The sequence below is a fragment of the Homo sapiens genome, chromosome 8, assembly GCF_000001405.40.
Source record: "Homo sapiens chromosome 8, GRCh38.p14 Primary Assembly".
Lineage (NCBI taxonomy): Eukaryota > Metazoa > Chordata > Mammalia > Primates > Hominidae > Homo > Homo sapiens.
Genome location: NC_000008.11, coordinates 29284993 through 29303088, shown reverse-complemented (window position 1 = coordinate 29303088; position 18096 = coordinate 29284993). Strand labels below are relative to the sequence as shown.

The 18096-nt window shown below is 44.1% G+C and overlaps 1 long non-coding RNA gene across 3 annotated transcripts in view, besides 1 other annotated feature; it reads left to right on the top strand.

Moving 5' to 3' along the window:
• LOC124901922 (uncharacterized) overlaps positions 1–15116 on the top strand; it is a 32348-nt gene extending 17232 nt beyond the window's left edge. The window contains exons 2-3 of one of the 3 annotated variants that reach the window (XR_007060874.1): positions 10405–10637; positions 13541–15116. This is a non-coding gene — a long non-coding RNA (uncharacterized LOC124901922). Of the gene's footprint in view, positions 1–10068; positions 10638–13540 lie in introns of those variants that run through there. The other 2 variants (XR_007060873.1, XR_007060872.1) reach the window with 2 other exon arrangements.
• Positions 6343–6637: an enhancer, noted in NCBI's record as "tiled region #4987; HepG2 Activating non-DNase unmatched - State 3:PromF, and K562 Activating DNase matched - State 8:EnhW". NCBI's record gives its function as "activates a minimal TATA promoter and a strong SV40 promoter by Sharpr-MPRA in HepG2 and K562 cells {active_cell/tissue: HepG2 | K562}" and the evidence as "EXISTENCE:reporter gene assay evidence [ECO:0000049][PMID:27701403]".
• Positions 15117–18096: the final 2980 nt, after the last annotated feature.

Genomic DNA, 18096 nt, shown 5'->3' with positions numbered 1-18096 from the left:
TTACTCCCAATATTGCAGGGGGTGTACACCACCATTGTAATATTGTTTCTAATATTTAAGAAGGGAGAGGATGATATTACTCCCAATATCGCAGGAAGTATTCACATGCCTTGTGATATTGTTCCTAATATCCAGTGGGGGAGAAAATAATGTTACCATAAATACCACAGGTGTTGTACACTCCCCCTGTGATATTGCTGCTAATATCCAGAAAAGGATAGCACGACATGACTCCAAATATTGCTGGGGGTGTACACTTCCCCCCTTGATATTGTTCCTAATATTAAAGGGGGAATAAAATGATATTACTCCCAATATCGCAGGGGTATACACTCCCTCTGTGATGTTGTTCCTAACATCCAGATGAGGGGAGAGGATGATATTACTATCCATATTGCAGGGGGTGTACACCCGCCTTGTGATATTGTTCCCAATATCCAGGGAAGGAGATGACAATATTACTCCCAATATGGCAGAGGGTATACACTCCCACTGTGATATTGTTTCTAATATCCAGGAGGAGAGAGGATTATATTACTCCCAATATGGCAGGAGGTATAAACCCCCCCGTGATATTGTTTACAATATCAAGGGGGGAGAGATTATTATTACTCCTAATATTGCATGGGGGTGTACACCGCCCCTGGAATATTGTTCCTAATATCCAAAGAGAGAGATGATGATATTATTCCCAATATCGCAGTAAGTGTACACCAACCCTGTCATACTCTTCCTAATATCCAATAAGAAAAGGATGATGTTACTCCCAATATCGAAAGGAGTGTACACACCCCTTGTGATAGTTTCTAATATTTAGGAGGGGAGATTTTGATATTACTCCCAATATCGCAGGAACTATACATCCATTCTGTGATATTGTTCTTAATATCCAAGGGGGAGAAGATGATATTACTCCTATTATTGCAGGGAGTGTACTCCCCCCTATGATATTGTTCATAATATCCATGAAAAAAGAGGATAATATTACTCCCAATATCGCAGGGGATGAACACCACCCTGTGATATTGTTCCTAATATCCGGGGGGATGGAGAGTATGATATCACTCCCAATATCGCAGGGGGTGTACATTTCCCCTTTGATATTGTTCCTAATGTCAACGGAGATAGAGGAGATTATTCCCAATATTGCAAGGTGTACATCCCCCTTGTGATATTGTTTTTAATATTGAGGAAGGAGGAGAATGCTATTACTCACAATATCGCAGAGGGTGTACAGCCTCCTTGGATATTGCCCCTAATATCCAAGGTGGGAGAGAATGATATTACTCCCAATATTGCAGAGGGTGTACAGCCCCTCTGTAATATAGTTCCAAATATCCAGGGAAGGAGAGAATTATACTACTCCCAATATCGCAGGGTGTGTACACCCCTGCTGCGATATTGTTCATAATATCAGGGGAAAAAGAAAATGATGATTCCCTTTATAGCATGAAATGTACACATACCCTGTGATATTATTTCTAACATCCAGAGAGGAAGAGGATGATATTACCTCCAGTATCATAGAAGGTATACACCCTCCCTGTGATATTGTTCCTAATGTCCAGGAAGGGAGGAGATGATATTATTACTCCCAATATTGCAGGGGTTTTCACTCTCCCTATGATATTGTTCCTAATATCCAGAAAGAAAGAGTATTATATTACTCCCAATATCGCAGGGGGTGTATATTACCCCTGTGATATTATTCCTAATTTTCAGAGGAACAGAGGATAATACTGCTTTCATTATCGCAGGGAATGTACAGCCCCACCCTGTGATATTGTTTCTAATATTCGGGGGGAGAGGATGATATTACTGCCAATATCGTGGGAGGTGTACACCACCCCTGTAATATTGTTCCTAACATCCATATAGGAAGAGGATGACATTACTCCCAATATCGCAGGGGTTGTACACCCACCCTGTGATATTGTTCCTAATATCCAGGGAGGGAGAGTATGATATTACCCCCAATAACACAGGGAGTGTACATTCCCCCTTTGATATTATTCCTAATATTCAGTGAAAGAGAGGATATTACTCCGAATATCACAGGGCATTGTGATATTGTTCTTAATCACCTCCCCTATGATATTTTTTCTAATATCCAGGGAAGGAGAAGATGCTATTACTCCCATTATTGCAAGTGAAGGATACACCCATATGATATTTTTTCTAATATTTCGGGGGGGAAATGATATTACTCCTAATATCGCATTGTATGTACACACCTCTGTGATATTGTTTTTAATATCCAGGGGAAGAGAGAATGATATTACTCCCAATATCACAGAAAGTGTACACCCCCCTGTGCTATTGTTTGTAATATCGAGGCAGAAGATGACATTACACTTAATAAAGTAAACACATAGTGTATTCACCCCCCTGTGATGTGATTCGTAATGTCCAGGGAGGAGAAGAGGGTGATATTACTCCCCATATCGCAGAGGGTGTTCACTCCCCCAGGATATGGTTCATAATATCCAAGGGGAGAGAGGAAGGTGATATTACTCCCCATATCGCGGGGTGTGTACAACCCCCTGTGATATGGTTCCTAGTATACGGGGGCAGGGGGAGGAGGGTGATATAACTCCCCATGTTGCGGGGGATGTTCACTCCCCTGTGATACGGTTCATAATTTACAGAGAGGGAGAGGAGGGTGGTACTACTCCCCATGTCGCGGGGAGTGTTCACCCCCCCCCGTGATTTGGTTCCTAATATCCAGGAGGGGAGAGGAGAGTGATATTACTCCCCATATCGCGGGGGGTGTACACCCGCCTGTCATATTGGGATTGATATAGTCCTCTCTTCCCCTGGATACTACGAGCAATAGCTAAGGGTGTGTACATTCTCTGCGATATTGGGAGTAATTTCATCCTCTCTCCTACCAGATATTGCGAACAATATCACAGTCGGATGTACATTCCCTGCGATGTCGGGATTAATATCATCCTCTCGCTTCTTGGATATAGTGAAAAATATCACATGAGGGTGTACATTCCTCGATATTGGGAGTAATATCTTCCTCCCACAACCTGTATATTACAAACAATATCACAGAGGGGTGTATAGCCCCTACAGTATTGGAAGTAATATCATCCTCTCGCCCCCTGGATATTACGAACAATAACACAAGGGTATGTACGCCTTCTTCGATATTAAGAGTAGTATCAACATCTCCCCCCCCCCCCGGATATTGTGAACAATATTACCAGGAGTATACACCCCGTGCGATATTGGAAATATTACCTCTCTCCTTCTGGATATTATGAACAATAGCACAAGGTGGTGTACACGTAGGGTGTTTATGATATTGGGAGTGATATCACCTCCTCCCTGCCTTGGTTATTAGGAACAACACCACAGGGGGCTGTACCCCCCTGTGATATTGGGAGTAATATCATTCTCCCCCCTCTGTATATTACAAACAATATCAAAGGGGCGTTTACGCCCTCCCACGAAATTTTGGGTAATGTTTTCTTCTCATCCCCTGGGTATTACGAACAATATCACAAGGGTGTGTGCACCCCCTGCGATATTGAGAATAATAACATTCTCTCGCCCCCTGGATACTGCGACCTATATCGCAGGGGAGTGTGCACCCTTTGCAATATTGGGTGTAATATCCTCTCAACCCCTGGAAATTGCGAACAATATTGCAGAAAGGTGTGCACCCCCTGCGATATTGGGAGCAATATCATTTTATCGACCCCTGGATATTGCAAATAATATCACATGAGTGTGTGCAGCCCCTGCGATATCGAGAGTAATATCATCCTCTCGCCCACTGGATATGGCGAACAATATCACAGGAGGGTGTGCACCACCTACGATATTGAAAGTAATATCCTCTCGCCCCCTGAATATTGCGAACATTATTACAGGGGGGTGTGTACTCCCTGCAATGTTAAAAGTAACATCATCCTCTTGCTCCTGGATGTTACGAACAATATCACAGGTAGTGTGCACCCCCTGCAATATTGGGAGTAATATCATCCTCTTGCCTCCTGAATATTACGAAAAATACCACAGGTGTTTGTGCACTCCCTGAGATATTGGAAGTAATATTATCCTCTCGCCCCCTGGATATTGCAAACAATATGACAGGGGAGTGTGCACCACTGTGGTATAGGAAGTAATGTCATCCTCTCGCCCCCTGGATATTGTGCACAATATCACGGGGGGGTGGTGCATCCCCTGCAGTATTGGGAGTAATGTCATCCTCTCGCCCCCTGGATATTGCAAATATCACAGGTTGGTGTACACACTTTGCAATATTGGGAGTAATATCATCCTCTCGCTCCCTGGATATTGCAATCAATATCACAGCGGGGTGTACAACCCCTGTGATATTAGGAGTAATATCATCCTCTTGCCTCCTCGATATTGCGAACAATAACACAGCGGAGTGTGCACTCCCTGTGATATAGGAAGTAATATTATCCTCTTGCAATCTGGATATTGCAAACAATATTAAAGAAAAGTGTGCACACCCTGCGATATTGTGAATAATATCACATGGTGTACACACGTTGGGTGCACCCACTGTGCTATTAGGAGTAATATCTATCTTCCTAGGATATTACGAATAATATCCCTTGGTATACACCCACTGTGCTATTAAGAGTAATATCACCCTAGGATATTACTAATAATATCACAGGGTGTACAAATATAGTGTACACCCATGGTGGTATTAGGATTAATATCTCCCTAGGATATTAGGAATAATATCACAGGGTTTACACCTACTGTGATATTAGGAGTGATATCTCAGAAGGATATGACAAATAATATCACAGAGTGTACACCCATTGTGATATTAGGAATAATATCTTTCTAGGTTATTATGAATAATATCACAAGGGGTACACCCACTGTGATATTAGGAGCAATATATTTCTAGGATATAACGTATAATATCACATGGTGTACACCCACTATGATATTAGCAGTAATATAGCCCTAGGATATTATGAATAATATCACCGCGTGTACAACCACTGCCATATTAGGAGTAATATCTTACTAGAATATTACAAATGTTACATAATAGGGTGTACACCCCCTGTGATATTAAAAGTAATATCTCCCTAAAATATTAAGAATAATATCAGAGGGTGTGCACCTTCTGTGATATTAAGAGTAATATCTCTCTTGATCATTATGAATAATATCATAGGGTGTGCACTCACTGTGATATTAGCGTTAATATCTCTCTAGGATATTACAAATAACATTACAGGATGTGCACCCACTATAATATTAGGTGTAATAACTCCATAGGATATTATAAATAATATCACAGTGTGTACACACATTGTGTGCACTCACTCTGATATTAAAAGAAGTATCTCCCTAGGATATTACCAATATGGTAATAATGGTGTGCACACGCTGAGATATTAGGAGCAATATCTCTCTAGAATGTGACAAATAATATCACAGGGTGTACACACACGGTATGCACTCACTGTGATATTAGGAGTAATAACTCCCTACGATATTATGAATAATATCACAGGGTGTACACACGTTGTGCGGACTCACTCTGATATTAAAAGAAATATCTCCCTAGGATATTACCAGTAATATCACAGGTTGTACTCACATGGTGTGCACACTTATATTAGGAGTAATATCTCCCTAGGATATTACGAATAATATCACAAGGTGTACACACATGGTGTGCACCAACTGTGATATTAGAAGTAATATCTTCCTAGTATATTAGGAATAATGTCACAGGGTGTGCACCCACTGTGATATTAGGAGTAGTATCTTCCTAGGATATAACAAATAATATCACAGAATGTGCACTCACTGTGATATTAGGAGTAATATCTACCTATGATGTTACAAATAATATCGCACGGTGTGCACCCACTGTGATATTAGTCATAATATCTCCCTAGGGTATTACAAATAATACCACAGGGTGTGCACCCACTGTGATATTAGGAGTAATATCTCCCTAAGATATTACAAATAATATCACAGGGTTTGCACCCTGTGTGATATTAGAAGTAATATCTTTCTACGATATTAAGAATAATATCAAGGTGTGCAAGCACTCTGATATTAGAAGTAATATCTTTCTAAGACATTTCAAATAGTATCACATAGTGTGCACCCACTGTGATATTAGGAGTAATATCACATAATGCAACCTCTACCTCTTGGGCTCAAGCAATCCTCCTGCTTCAGCCTCCCAAGTAGCTGGGACTACAGGCACAGACCACCATGCCCAGCTATTTTTTTTTATTTTTTGTAGAGATGGGGGTCTTGCTATGTTGCCCAGGCTGGCCTCGAACTCCTGGACTCAAGCAATCCTCCTGCCTCAGCCTCCCCAAGTGTTGGAGTTACAAGCATGAACCACTGTTCCCGGCCACGCAGCATCTTTTGAAGGTGCTTCCTGTGTGCTGGAAGTTTCCCATTCATGTTGTGAGTCCACTTCCCTTTCCCGGGGTCACATAACACAGACCTGTGATGTGGGCTCTACCAATCAGATGCTCTTTTATTGGACTGGGGCTCAGGCGGTTCTGACCCCGGAAGGGAAACTTGCTTTGTCTGGGGTGGAGACAGCAAACATGTTGATAAGGCACCAGCAGTGGCTACCTTGTGAGTCTGGGGCCCAAAAGAGACAGTGGTGCTAACTGTGGAGTCTGGTGCCCAGTGGCCCTGGCAGGCGTGTCCTCACAGGCCAGGCTTGCAGTGTGGTTTCGACATTGTTTCCGGAAGCTGAGCCTCAAGGTGAGTCCTCCTGCCTTCCCAGCCAATCTTCCCAGTAGCCTTGTCACAAATTCCTTTCTGCTTTATCTGCCCGACTCAGTGTCTGTTGCTTGTAATTAAGACTGCTAAATGAGGCCAGGTGTGGTGGCTCACGCCCATAATCCTAGCGCTTTGGGAGGCTGAGGCAGGTGGACCACCTGAGGTCAGGAGTTCAAGACCAGACTGACCAACATGGCGAAACCCCATCTCTACCAAAAATACAAAAATTAACCAGGCATGGTGGCACATGCCTGTAATCCCAGCTACTATTCAGGAGGCTAAGGCAGGAGAGTTGCTTGAACCTGGGAGGCAGAGGTTGCAGTGAGCCGAGATTGCTCCACTTCACTGCAACCTGGGTGAAAGAGCAAAACTCTGTCTCAAAAAACAACAACAAAAAGACTGCTAAATGGCATATCCACATTTGAGTGTGGGGAAGAAATGAAAATTACACAGACTATGAGGCAGAGGTTCACAAGCATGAACATTAACACCCCTATATAAGAGATTGAGGCCAGGCGTGGTGGTTCACACCTCTAATCCTAGCACTTTGGGAGATGGAGGCAGGTGGATCACTTGAGCCCCGGAGTCCAAGACCAGCCTGGGCAACATAGTGAGATCCTATCTCTACAAAAATTTCAAAAATTAGCTGGGCCTGGTAGCACATGCCAGTAGTCCCAGCTACTTGGGAGGCTGAGGTGAGAGGATTGCTTGAGCCTGGGAGGTGGAGGTTACAGTGAACAGAGGTTGCACCACTGCACTCCAGCCTGGGCAACAGAGTCAGACTCTGTCCAAAAGAGATTGAGACCAGCTGTAGAGGCAGGAGGATTGCTTGAGGCCAGGATTTTGAGACCAAAAAAGATTGAGACCAGCTGTATAGGCAGGAGGATTGCTTGAGGCCAGGATTTTGAGACCAGCCTGGGGTCTTTTGTAGAGACCCGCATCTCTACAAAAAACATTAAAAATTAGCTAGGTGTGGTGGCTTATGCCTATAAGTCCCAGCTACTTAGGAGGCTGAAGAGGGAGGGTTGTTCAAGCCCAGGAGGTTGAGGCTGCTATGAGCTCATGATTGTGCCACTGCACTCCAGCCTGGGTGACATAACGAGAAAGAAAGAAAAGAAAAGCTTAGAAGGAGTAAATGAAGTAGATTAGAATATTACAAAGCAGAAACAAAGAAAAAAGTAAAAGTGTAAGACAGTCCAGGGATTAGTTTTTAATTAATGGTTTAAAGGGAATGGAATGTTTTTTTAAAAAAAATGAAGTAGAAAAATTATTCAGTGAGTAGTTTGGAAATTATCATTAGAAAAATAGTAAAATTACAGGTGCAGTGGCTCACACCTATAATTCTAGCACTTTGGGAGGTCTAGGTGGGCCGATCACTAGAGCCCAGGAGTTCAAGACCAGCCCAGGCATCATGGTGAAACACATACTCTACAAGACATACCAAAATTAGCCAGGCGTGGTGGCATGTGCCTGTAGTCCCAGCTACATAGAAGGCTGAGGTGGGAGGATCACCTGAGCCCGGGAGGTCAAGGCTGCAGTGAGCTGTGATCGTGCCACTGTACTCCAGCCTGGGTGACAGAGTGAGACTCTGTCTCCACAAGAAAAGAAAAGCAAAGAAAAGAAAAGAAAAACAGTAAAAGTCATTGTTGTAGCCTCTAGCTGTTTTTCATTAGATTATGTGTAATTTCAGGCAATAACGTATATGGTCCTGCAAAAAACAAATGCATAGTGGCCATAGTTTTAAAGTGCTTCCACCTTTATCACTCTCTGAATTTAACAACAGTCTCAATGCTGATATAGTCTGAAATAGCCCCACAATTGCCACTGAAAGCAGAGGGGCTAGAAATGATGAAAGAGGAACTATTTTATGACTTCATATTCTACTTTAGTCACATTCAAAAGAAAAGCAGGCATAGGGATTTCTGTTAAAATTCCTACCCAGGTGGAAGTAAAATTTTCAGAAACCAGGAGAGGCAACTTACAAAAAAAGCATCTTGAAGAATTATTAGAAAATGTCAGAATGGATCATTTCATTAGAGGAAGGAAAGTCAATGATAGGTGTGTTATATTTTTAAAAATCACAAGAAATATAATCATTGGTAATTAAGGACACGATGAGAACTGCATAATTTAAATGGTAGTATGACGCTGGGAGCAGTGGCTCACACCTGTAATCCCAGCACTTTGGGAGGCCAAGGAGGGAGGATCACCTGAGGTCAGGAGTTCAAGGCCAGCCTGGCTCACATGGTGAAAACCCGTCTCTACTAAAAATACAAAAATTAGCCGGGTATGATGGCACACACCTGTGGTCTCAACTGCTTAGGAGGCTGAGGCAGGAGAATCACTTGAACCCGGGAGGCAGAGGTTGCAGTGAGCTGAGATTACGCCACTGCACTCCAGCCTGGGCCACAGAGTGAGACTCCATCTCAATAAAAAAATAAATAAATAAATAAATAAAATGGTTGTAGGAGATGTGAGAATGAGGACCAAGTCAAAATAGAATGTCATCAAAATAGAATGTCACAGACACACACACACACGATCCCTGCCTAGCTATCCGTAGGCAGGTAGAGATTGGGGGGTAGATGCTCCTCTGCACTGGCCCAGAGAGTGATGGACTCACAGACTCAAAAGCCATGATGATGAGTTGGGGTCTCCCTGCCCCCACCTAGTCCACTGGTGTCATGGACTAGTCCCCCCACCCCCCAAATATACCTGGAGAATGGCAGCTCTCTCCTCAGCCAAGTTCAAGGACTTGGTTAGGGAACAGAGGTCAGGTCCACCCTGGGAAAGCTAGACTTCCTCTAATCCTGGCTCTTTTGGGCCCAGAAGGTTCTGCTCTTTGGGGTGATGCCAAACATGCCTCCAGCATAAAAGACTGCAGTTACAGCTGACACACACAGAAGCAGGAAGGGGGGGTTCTATCCTGTGCACTCTGTCTTTCCTTCCTGGTAAGAAAGTGGTCTTTTATCATAAAATATGTCATTCCAATTATGCCATGAAATGGGGTTAAATATCAGCAAGGCGATGGTTTGCTTCTCTGGTGGATGTTAAATTTTTTTTTTTTTTTTTTTTTTGAGAGGGAGTCTCACTCTGTTGCCCAGGCTGGAGCACAGTGGTGTGATCTTGGCTTACTGCTACCTTTACCTCCCAAGTTCAAGCGATTCTCCTGCCTTAGCCTACCAAGTAGCTGGAGCTACATGCCTGGCTAATTTCTGTATTTTTAGTAGAGATGGGGTTTGCCATGTTGTCCAGGCTGGTCTCAAACTCCTGACCTCAAGTGATCAGCCCGTCTTTGCCTCCAAAACTGCTGGGATTACAGGCTACATGTTCGACTTTGATCCCAGATCAGCAGCTCTGCTCAATGCCAAGAGGGTGCTGGGCCCCGTGGGGACAGACGGGGGGAAGAAGTTTCGCAGGGACAGGAGGACCCAGGCAGAGACTGAAGAGGGGAAAACCCAAACAGAAAAACTTTAGGACACCCGCTGCAGCTGCATGTGTAAACCTGAAAGTTGAAGTGATGGGGAAGATGTAGAATTGCTTTGGCCTTTTCTCTGGGTCCTGCTGGTCTGTGGTCTGCCGATGGTAACCTCTCCTCACCTTCCAGCCCAACTGGGATGTATCTTTCAGACGCTGCAGGGCTTGGCGGAAGATCTGAGCCATTTGCCTGGACGTTCTCCATGCTATTGTGATCGGCCTCATCTGTCTGAAACCTTGCTGACCCCGGCTTATCTGGTGTTGGACCAAATGACCCTGGAGTCTCTGCATCTTCTTCAGGGTGACCTGTGCATGTCTGCTATCCCTGCCCCTGCCAGCCGTAGGCTGACCTCCACCTGACCCTCAACTGCATGGGCCCTGATGAGGTACATTCCCTTTGAATCCAGGCCCTCCCTTTAGTTTGGAAGATTGCTGGAAATAGCTTGCTTTCCAAAAGGAGATAGTGAGAAATGGATTCAGGAGTTTCTTAAATCCAGTTGTAAAGATTTGGGGGAATTAGGAAATTAAGAGCATGGTAAGGAAGAGATTAGGAGAGTGCACAAAGAGGAAACCACTATTCCCCCCACCTTTCAAAGACAGGAGGAGTCATAAATACCGTTGCAGTCATGTCCGTGGTGTAGAGAGCATAGTGACAGATCCCACAGCATGATTTGCTGAGACTTCAAATCCAAAGACGAGATAGATAATGAGCTAAAGAAGTAGAAAACAGGACAGAAAAAGACTATCAATTTAGAAAGGGAAAGTTCACACTCCAAGCAGGTTTTTGTTAAGAAATATAGTATTTTTTAATTTGTATTTTTATTTATTTATTTTGAGACAGAGTATCGCTGTCTTGCCCAGGCTGGAGTGCAGTGGCACTATCTCGGCTCACCGCAACCTCCGCCTTCCAGGTCTAAGCTCTTCTCCTGTCTCAGCCTCCTGAGTAGCTGGACCTACAGGCACCCACCACCACACGCAGCTAATTTTTTTGTGTGTTTTTAGTAGAGATGGAGTTTCACCATGTTGGCCAGGCTGGTCTTGAACTCCTGACCTCAAGTGATCCCCCTGCCTCAGCCTCCCAAAGTGCTGGGATTACAGGCATGAGCCACCGCACCCAGACAGGAATATAGTATTATTAATATTTTCCCCCTTTAAGTAAGATAAGAAGGCTGAAGGAAAATGTTCCAGGTAGGACTCAGCTAGAAACTGTTAAGGACGGCAGCTGTCTCTTTAAAAACAAAGTGGGGGGCTGGGCGTGGCGGCTCACCCCTGTAATCCCAGTACTTTGGGAGGCCAAGGAGGGTGGATCACCTAAGGTCAGGAGTTCAAGACTAGCCTGGCCAACGTAGTGAAACCCCATCTCTACTAAAAATACAAAATTATCCGGGTGTGGTGGTTTGCACCTGTAATCCCAGCTACCTGGGAGGCTGAGGCAGGAGAGTGGCTTGAACCTGGAAGGTGGAGGTTGCGGTAAGCAGAGATCATGCCACTGCACTCCAGCCCGGGCAACAAGAGCGAAACTCTGTCTCAATCAATCAATAAAAGAAAAGGAAAGAAAAGAAAAAAATCAGGCAAGCATGGTGGCACATACCTGTAGTCCCAGCTACTCCAGGAAGCTAACGTGGGAGGATCACTTGGCCCCGGGAGGTTGAGGCTGCAGTAAGCTGTGATTGAACCACTGCACTCCAGCCTGGGTGACAGCAAGACTTTGCCTCTTTAAAAAAAAAAAAAAAAAAAAAAAAAAAAGGCCGGGCGCAGTGGCTCACACCTGTAATCCCAGCACTTTGGTAGGCTGAGGCAGGCAGATCACGAGGTCAGGAGTTTGAGACCAGTCTGGCCAACATGGTGAAACCCCGTCTCTACTAAAAATACAAATATTAGCCAGGCATGGTGGCACGGGCCTGTAATCCCAGCTACTCAGGAGGCTGAAGCAGGAGAACCACTTGAACTCGGAGGCAGAGGTTGCAGTGAGCCGAGATTGAGCCACTGCACTCCAGCCTGGGCAACAGCACAAGACTCCGTCTCAAAAAAAAAAAAAAAGAAAGAAAAGAAAAGAAAAAAGAAGGAGGGCAGGATGTTTCAAAGAGGACTAGGAAAGACTTATTTGGGAAATTCATTAACCTCAGTGTTTTTTTTTTTCTAATTAATAGACTTTATTATGTAGAGCTATCTTAGGTTTATAGAAAAATTGAGCAGAAAATGCAGAGAGCTCCCATATTAAACCCCTCTCCCAACACAAAGTTTCCTGTTACTAACATCTTGCCTTGGTGTGGTACATTTGTTACAATATTAACCCATTGAATAATATTGAAGAAATATTAACACGTCATTATTAACTTAAGCCCATAGTTTACATTGGAATTTATTCTTTGCATTGTAATTTATGGACATTTTTAATCAAAAATAAAACTGTTTTCATAGGAGAGATTATAAGTAGATGAAGAGAATCAAAAATTTATATAATTCCAAAAAAAGCATGGACCTTCCTTTCCAGGATAAGATAGATACAAAAAAAAAAAAAAAAAAAAAAAAACCCTTTAAAAGTCCCTTCTGATGGCAGGACTCTTGGGTTCTAGAATGACTTGGAGCTTTCAAGAACAACAGTTTAGAAACTAGGCATGACAAAGGGTAGTCAAATCTTTCAGTTCAGGGTATAAAGCACCTTAAAAAATATTTTATACTTAGTATCACTGAACTATACACTTAAAAATGGTTAAAATGGGCTGGATGTGGTGGCTTATGCCTGTAATCCCAGCACTTTGGGAGTCTGAGGCGGGAGGATAACTTGAGCCAGGAGTTCAAGACCAGCCTCGGCAACATAGCAAGACCTTGTCTCCACAAAAAATAAAAATAAAAAAATTAGCCACATATGGTGGTGCATGTCTGTGGTCCAGATATTCGGGAGGCTGGGGTGGGAGGATTACTTGAGCCTGGGAGGTTGAGGCTGCAGTGAGGTGAGCCGTGACCGCATAACTGCACTCCAGCCTGGGCAACAGAGTGAGACCTGGTCTCAAAAATAAAAGGTTAAAAAGGTCAATTTTACGTTGTGTACATTTTACCGTAAGAAAAAAAGTTTTAAAGAAGAATTACCCAAGAGAGCTTATCCACAAGTGTGTGACTCATTCAGTTGGGTGGAAGCCAATTTCCAGGGCAGGAAGCTGTGAAATATTCATTTCTGAATAAGCAAGATGAACACCTGTGAGAGGGCTCGTTGGCAAGTCGTGTTTCAGAGCCACACAGCAACATTAGCTTTTAAAACAATGATACTTTAAGCATGGCTTCTATTCAGTCACAGGCTCCCTTCACAGAAGGAAGGTGGAAAAAGCTCACGTGAACGTTGCTTTCCTGTCCTTGGACTTCTGACATCCCTCGGGCCAGCCCTCAGCAGTGAGCCAACCCGCAAGTCCTGCTCAGGATCCAGTGGGAAGGCAGCTGTCCTCTTGGATGATCCTGGCACCATATTGGAAGGAGTCCATCTGTGGAGGCCATCAGAGATTTGATCACCTCAGCTGTTGTTCAGCTCCTCCGGGGACTGGGGGAATTTTCGTGCCATTGGTGTTGACAATGACATAATCCTAGCTCTAAGTCGTCTAAGTGTGTTTCTCCACAGATACACATCAAGTACTAGGTGGTGCCATTCTGTCCCACACAACTGTACAATAAGTCTTCTCAAAGGCTGAGAAGACTCACCATACAGAGCTTCATTCCTTGAAACCCTAAGCTGGAACCCTGAAACCTTATTTTTTCTTTCAGCTACCATAAGGCTGAAATTAACCATAGCCTTCCCAAGGATTGGTTTCTTCTCAAAGAGTTTTAACTTATAAATAGGACCAAAGATTTTAAAAATACAAATGTTTGTCATTAAATGAAGTCATGCAAGTGAAAGTGCCTAGAATAGTACTTGGCTCATAGCTGGTACATGGGAAAGTCTTGTTTTCCACCTCCATGTACTCCAGACGCAGCTTAGAAAATCAGGTAACTTGGCCGGGCTCGGTGGCTCATGCCTATAATCCCAGCACTTTGGGAGGCTGAGGCAGGCGGATCACGAGGTCAGGAGTTTGAGACCAGCCTGGTCAACATAGCGAAACCCCATCTCTATCAAAAAACAAAAAATTAGCTGGGCGTGGTGGCGGGCACCTGTAATCCCAGCTACTTGGGAGGCTGAGGTGGGAGGATCGCTTGATCCTGGGAGGCAAAGGTTGGAGTAACCTATGATCACACCACTGCACTCCAGCCTAGGTGACAGAGTGAGACCCTGTCTCAAAAAAAAAAGGCAGAGCTGAATAAGACCGTTACTGTCACAGGGCTTTCTTCAATAAATGCTAGTCACTATTTTGTTTGTTTGTTTGTTTGTTTGTTTTTGAGACGGAGTCTGGCTCTGTGACCCAGGCTGGAGTGTAGTGGCATGATCTCAGCTCACTGCAACCTCCACCTCCCAGGTTCAAGTGATTCTCCTGCCTCAGCCTCCTGAGTAGCTGGGATTACAGGTGCCCACCACCACACCTGGCTAATTTCTGTATTTTTAGTAGAGACAAGGTTTCGCTATGTTGGCCAGGCTGGTCTTGAAATCCTAACCTGAAGTGATCCTCCTGCCTCGGCCTCCCAAAGTGCTGGGATTTCAGGTGTGGGCCACTGTTCCGGCACTTTTTTTTTTTTTTTTTTTTTTTTTGAGGCAGGGTCTCGCTCTGCCACCCAGTGGCAGTGACTGGAGGGCAGTGACTGGACATGGCTCACTACTACAGTCTCTATCTCCTGGGCTCAAGCAATCCTCCTGCCTCAGCCTCCCAAGTAGCTGGGACCACAGGCATGTACCACCACGCCCAGCTAAGCCACTATTATTAATAAATGTTTGCCTTAGAACAAAATTGACTACATTATACCTCAATGTCTGATCACTCTTCCTACATTTTCACTTTTTTTCCATCACTCTTCTGATCAAAATCTCCTAGAAGCTGGGCATGGTGGTACGCACTTGTGGCCCCAGCTACCTGGAGGCTGAGGCAGAAGGATTCCTTGAGCTCAGGAGTTCAAGACCAGCCTGGGCAACATAGCGAGACCCTGTCTCATAATGAATGAATTAATTAATTAAAAAATCTTCCAGGGTCCTGCTCCATGTGGATAAAACCCCAACTCCTTAGCTTAAGTAGAACTTTTTTTTCCTTTTAAAGCTAGAAGGAGCTTTATTGATAATTTATTTTCTTATTTCATTTTTTAGATTTGCCTTGGCATATAGACCTTTGAAAAAATATATATATAGTTGTAATTATTAATAGTTTTGGGGGTACAAGTGGTTTTTGGTTACATGGATGAATTGTATAGTGGTGAAGTCTAAGAGGATTTATTTTATCTCTGTTTAAAAAGCACATTTAGGATTGTTTGAATGTTTCTTTCAACACTATTTTTGTAAAGCTTATTTTGTAATTACTAGCCAGTCACAAGAAAATGAATCCATCAGAATGAACTTCTTAGCAGCTCTGAAAACCTACCGATAATCCAGTGGCACCCAGTCCCGGCTGCACATTAAAATCACCTCGGGCCTTTAAAAACACACCAGCGCCTGGGCCCAACCCCCAGAAATTCCAATCTAATTGGTCTGGGGCGTGGCTGAACACTGGGATTTTTTTTTTTTTTTTTTTAAAGCTCCCAGGTGAGTCAAATGTGCAGCCAGCGTTGAGTGGCACTGTTGTCACCTCTGTTTCTTCACACCTGAGCCTTCGTCTGTCGGCTCATCTGCAGCCACACAGTTCTCAGGTTCTTCCTCCTGGGCCCCATTTGTCTGGGATAGGCCGAACTCACCCCAGTTCCTGCCCTGGAGCAATTATACAGACGTACCTTCTAAAGCAAACAAGCCTTGTCTTCAAATCAGGCCACAAACACACCTTGACCCGCCCTCATAACTTCCTGGATTCTTGATCCGGTTTATGGTTTACTGATAACATCCTGGATAGAGAACCAGTTTCAGACTTTCGGTGACCTAGTCACCCCTTGGCTGGGGCTGGAATTTCATGTTGTCTGGGCTCCTTGATGGTCCCAGAATGGTGGTGATTATTTTTCTTTGGTCCTTGGTGCTGCATCCCCTGAGTGCCAGCTTGATAGGTTCTAGTTTCTTAGCTTTTGCAAACTGGAGCTTTCATTTTGCAGTTCTAAACTGCCTCGCCCCCACCAGCCCCCAACCTCAGCCACTGGAGCCTTACAGGTCACCAGCTTCCGCTTACTCTTCTGATAAAGGACTAGGTGATGAACTGAACATTGAAAAACAAGGAAGAGAGAAATTTGGAATAAGTTAATCTAGGGAAAGGGGGGGCAGTCTTTTGGGTTGATCCAACACAATTTACCTTTCCTTTCCTTTTCTTTTTTTTAATAGGGACAGGGTCTTGCTATGTTGCCCAGGCTGGTCTCAAACTCCTGGACTCAAGTGATCCTCCCACCTCATCCTCCCAAAGTGCTGAGATTACAGACATGAGCCACAGTACCTGGCCACAATTTACCTTCTCTTTGGTGTCTTAGGAACCTGAGGATAATGCATGGGGTATTCCAGTAGACTGTGCAAAACCCACCATCTTCCCATTTTGATATCATGGTTTCTGCTACTCATCTATTCCTGCCTCCTTTTTTGCTTTCCCCTATTTTATCACATGTGGCACAAGAAACCCAAATAGAAAAGCACAATTACTTCTATAGTCAGAGCAAGAATGAGATTTCAGAATCAAAGGAACCATGTTGGACTACGGAGTAGGCAAGAGTTACAGGTGACAAGGATTCAACATGTATACAGTTCCCTAATACAAGGCTTGCACCACTTGTCTGGGAAGGCCATGCTCTTAATGAATGTCCCTGCAGTAGACTTGAGACTCATCATCTTGTCCCTCCTTGCCTTGAGTCATGCCAGTGTAACAGACTCGCAGGACACAGCCACAAGTCCCATTGTAGAAGCAGGTGCTACCTCTCACATCAGCTCACTACATCCCTTCTGCAGTTGTCAGCTGAGAGCCACCGAGTTCACAGTCTGTTCAGGGGAACTCAAGACATTAAAATCAACTAAAAGATGCATCAAGAATGAGGGAATCCGGTTGGGTGCAGCGGCTCCCACCTATAATCTTAGCACTTTGGGAGGCCAAGGCGGGCAGATCATATGAGGTCAGAAGTTTGAGACCAGCCTGGCCAACATGGTGAAACCCCATCTCTACTAAAAATACAAAAAATTAGCCCAGCATGGTGGTGTGCACCTGTAATTGCAGCTACTGGGGAGGCTGAGGCACAAGAATCACTTGAACCCAGGAAGCGGAGGTTGCAGTGAGCTGAGATCGCACCATTGCACTCTAGCCTGGGTGACAGAGCGAGACTGTTTCAAAAAAAAAAAAAAGAATGAGGAAATCTACACTAAGGAATGAGAACTGTGGGCAATTTACTCTATAATTAAAGTTACTTATATAAGTCAGAACAATAAATAATATAGGGTAATTCTCTACATCTTGGTGAAACCTTTGGTAAATTTCTTTGTGGAGTTCCCTTATTTCCATTTTTTGTTGTTTGTTTGTTTGTTTTGAGGCAGGGTCTCACTCTGTCACCCAGGCTGGAGTAGTAGTGCGATTGTGGCTCACTGCAGCCTCAACTTCCTGGGCTCAAGGCTCCCTCTTCAGCCTCCTAAGTAACTGGGACCACAAGCACATGCCACCACGCCCAGCTAATTTATTATTATTATTATTATTATTATTATTATTATCTGTAGATATGGGGTTGCACTATGGCTGCCTAGGCTGGTCTTGAACTCCTGGGCTCAAACAATCCTCGCCTCAGCCTCCCAAAGTGTTGGATTACAGGCGTGAGCCACCGTGCCCAGCCTGG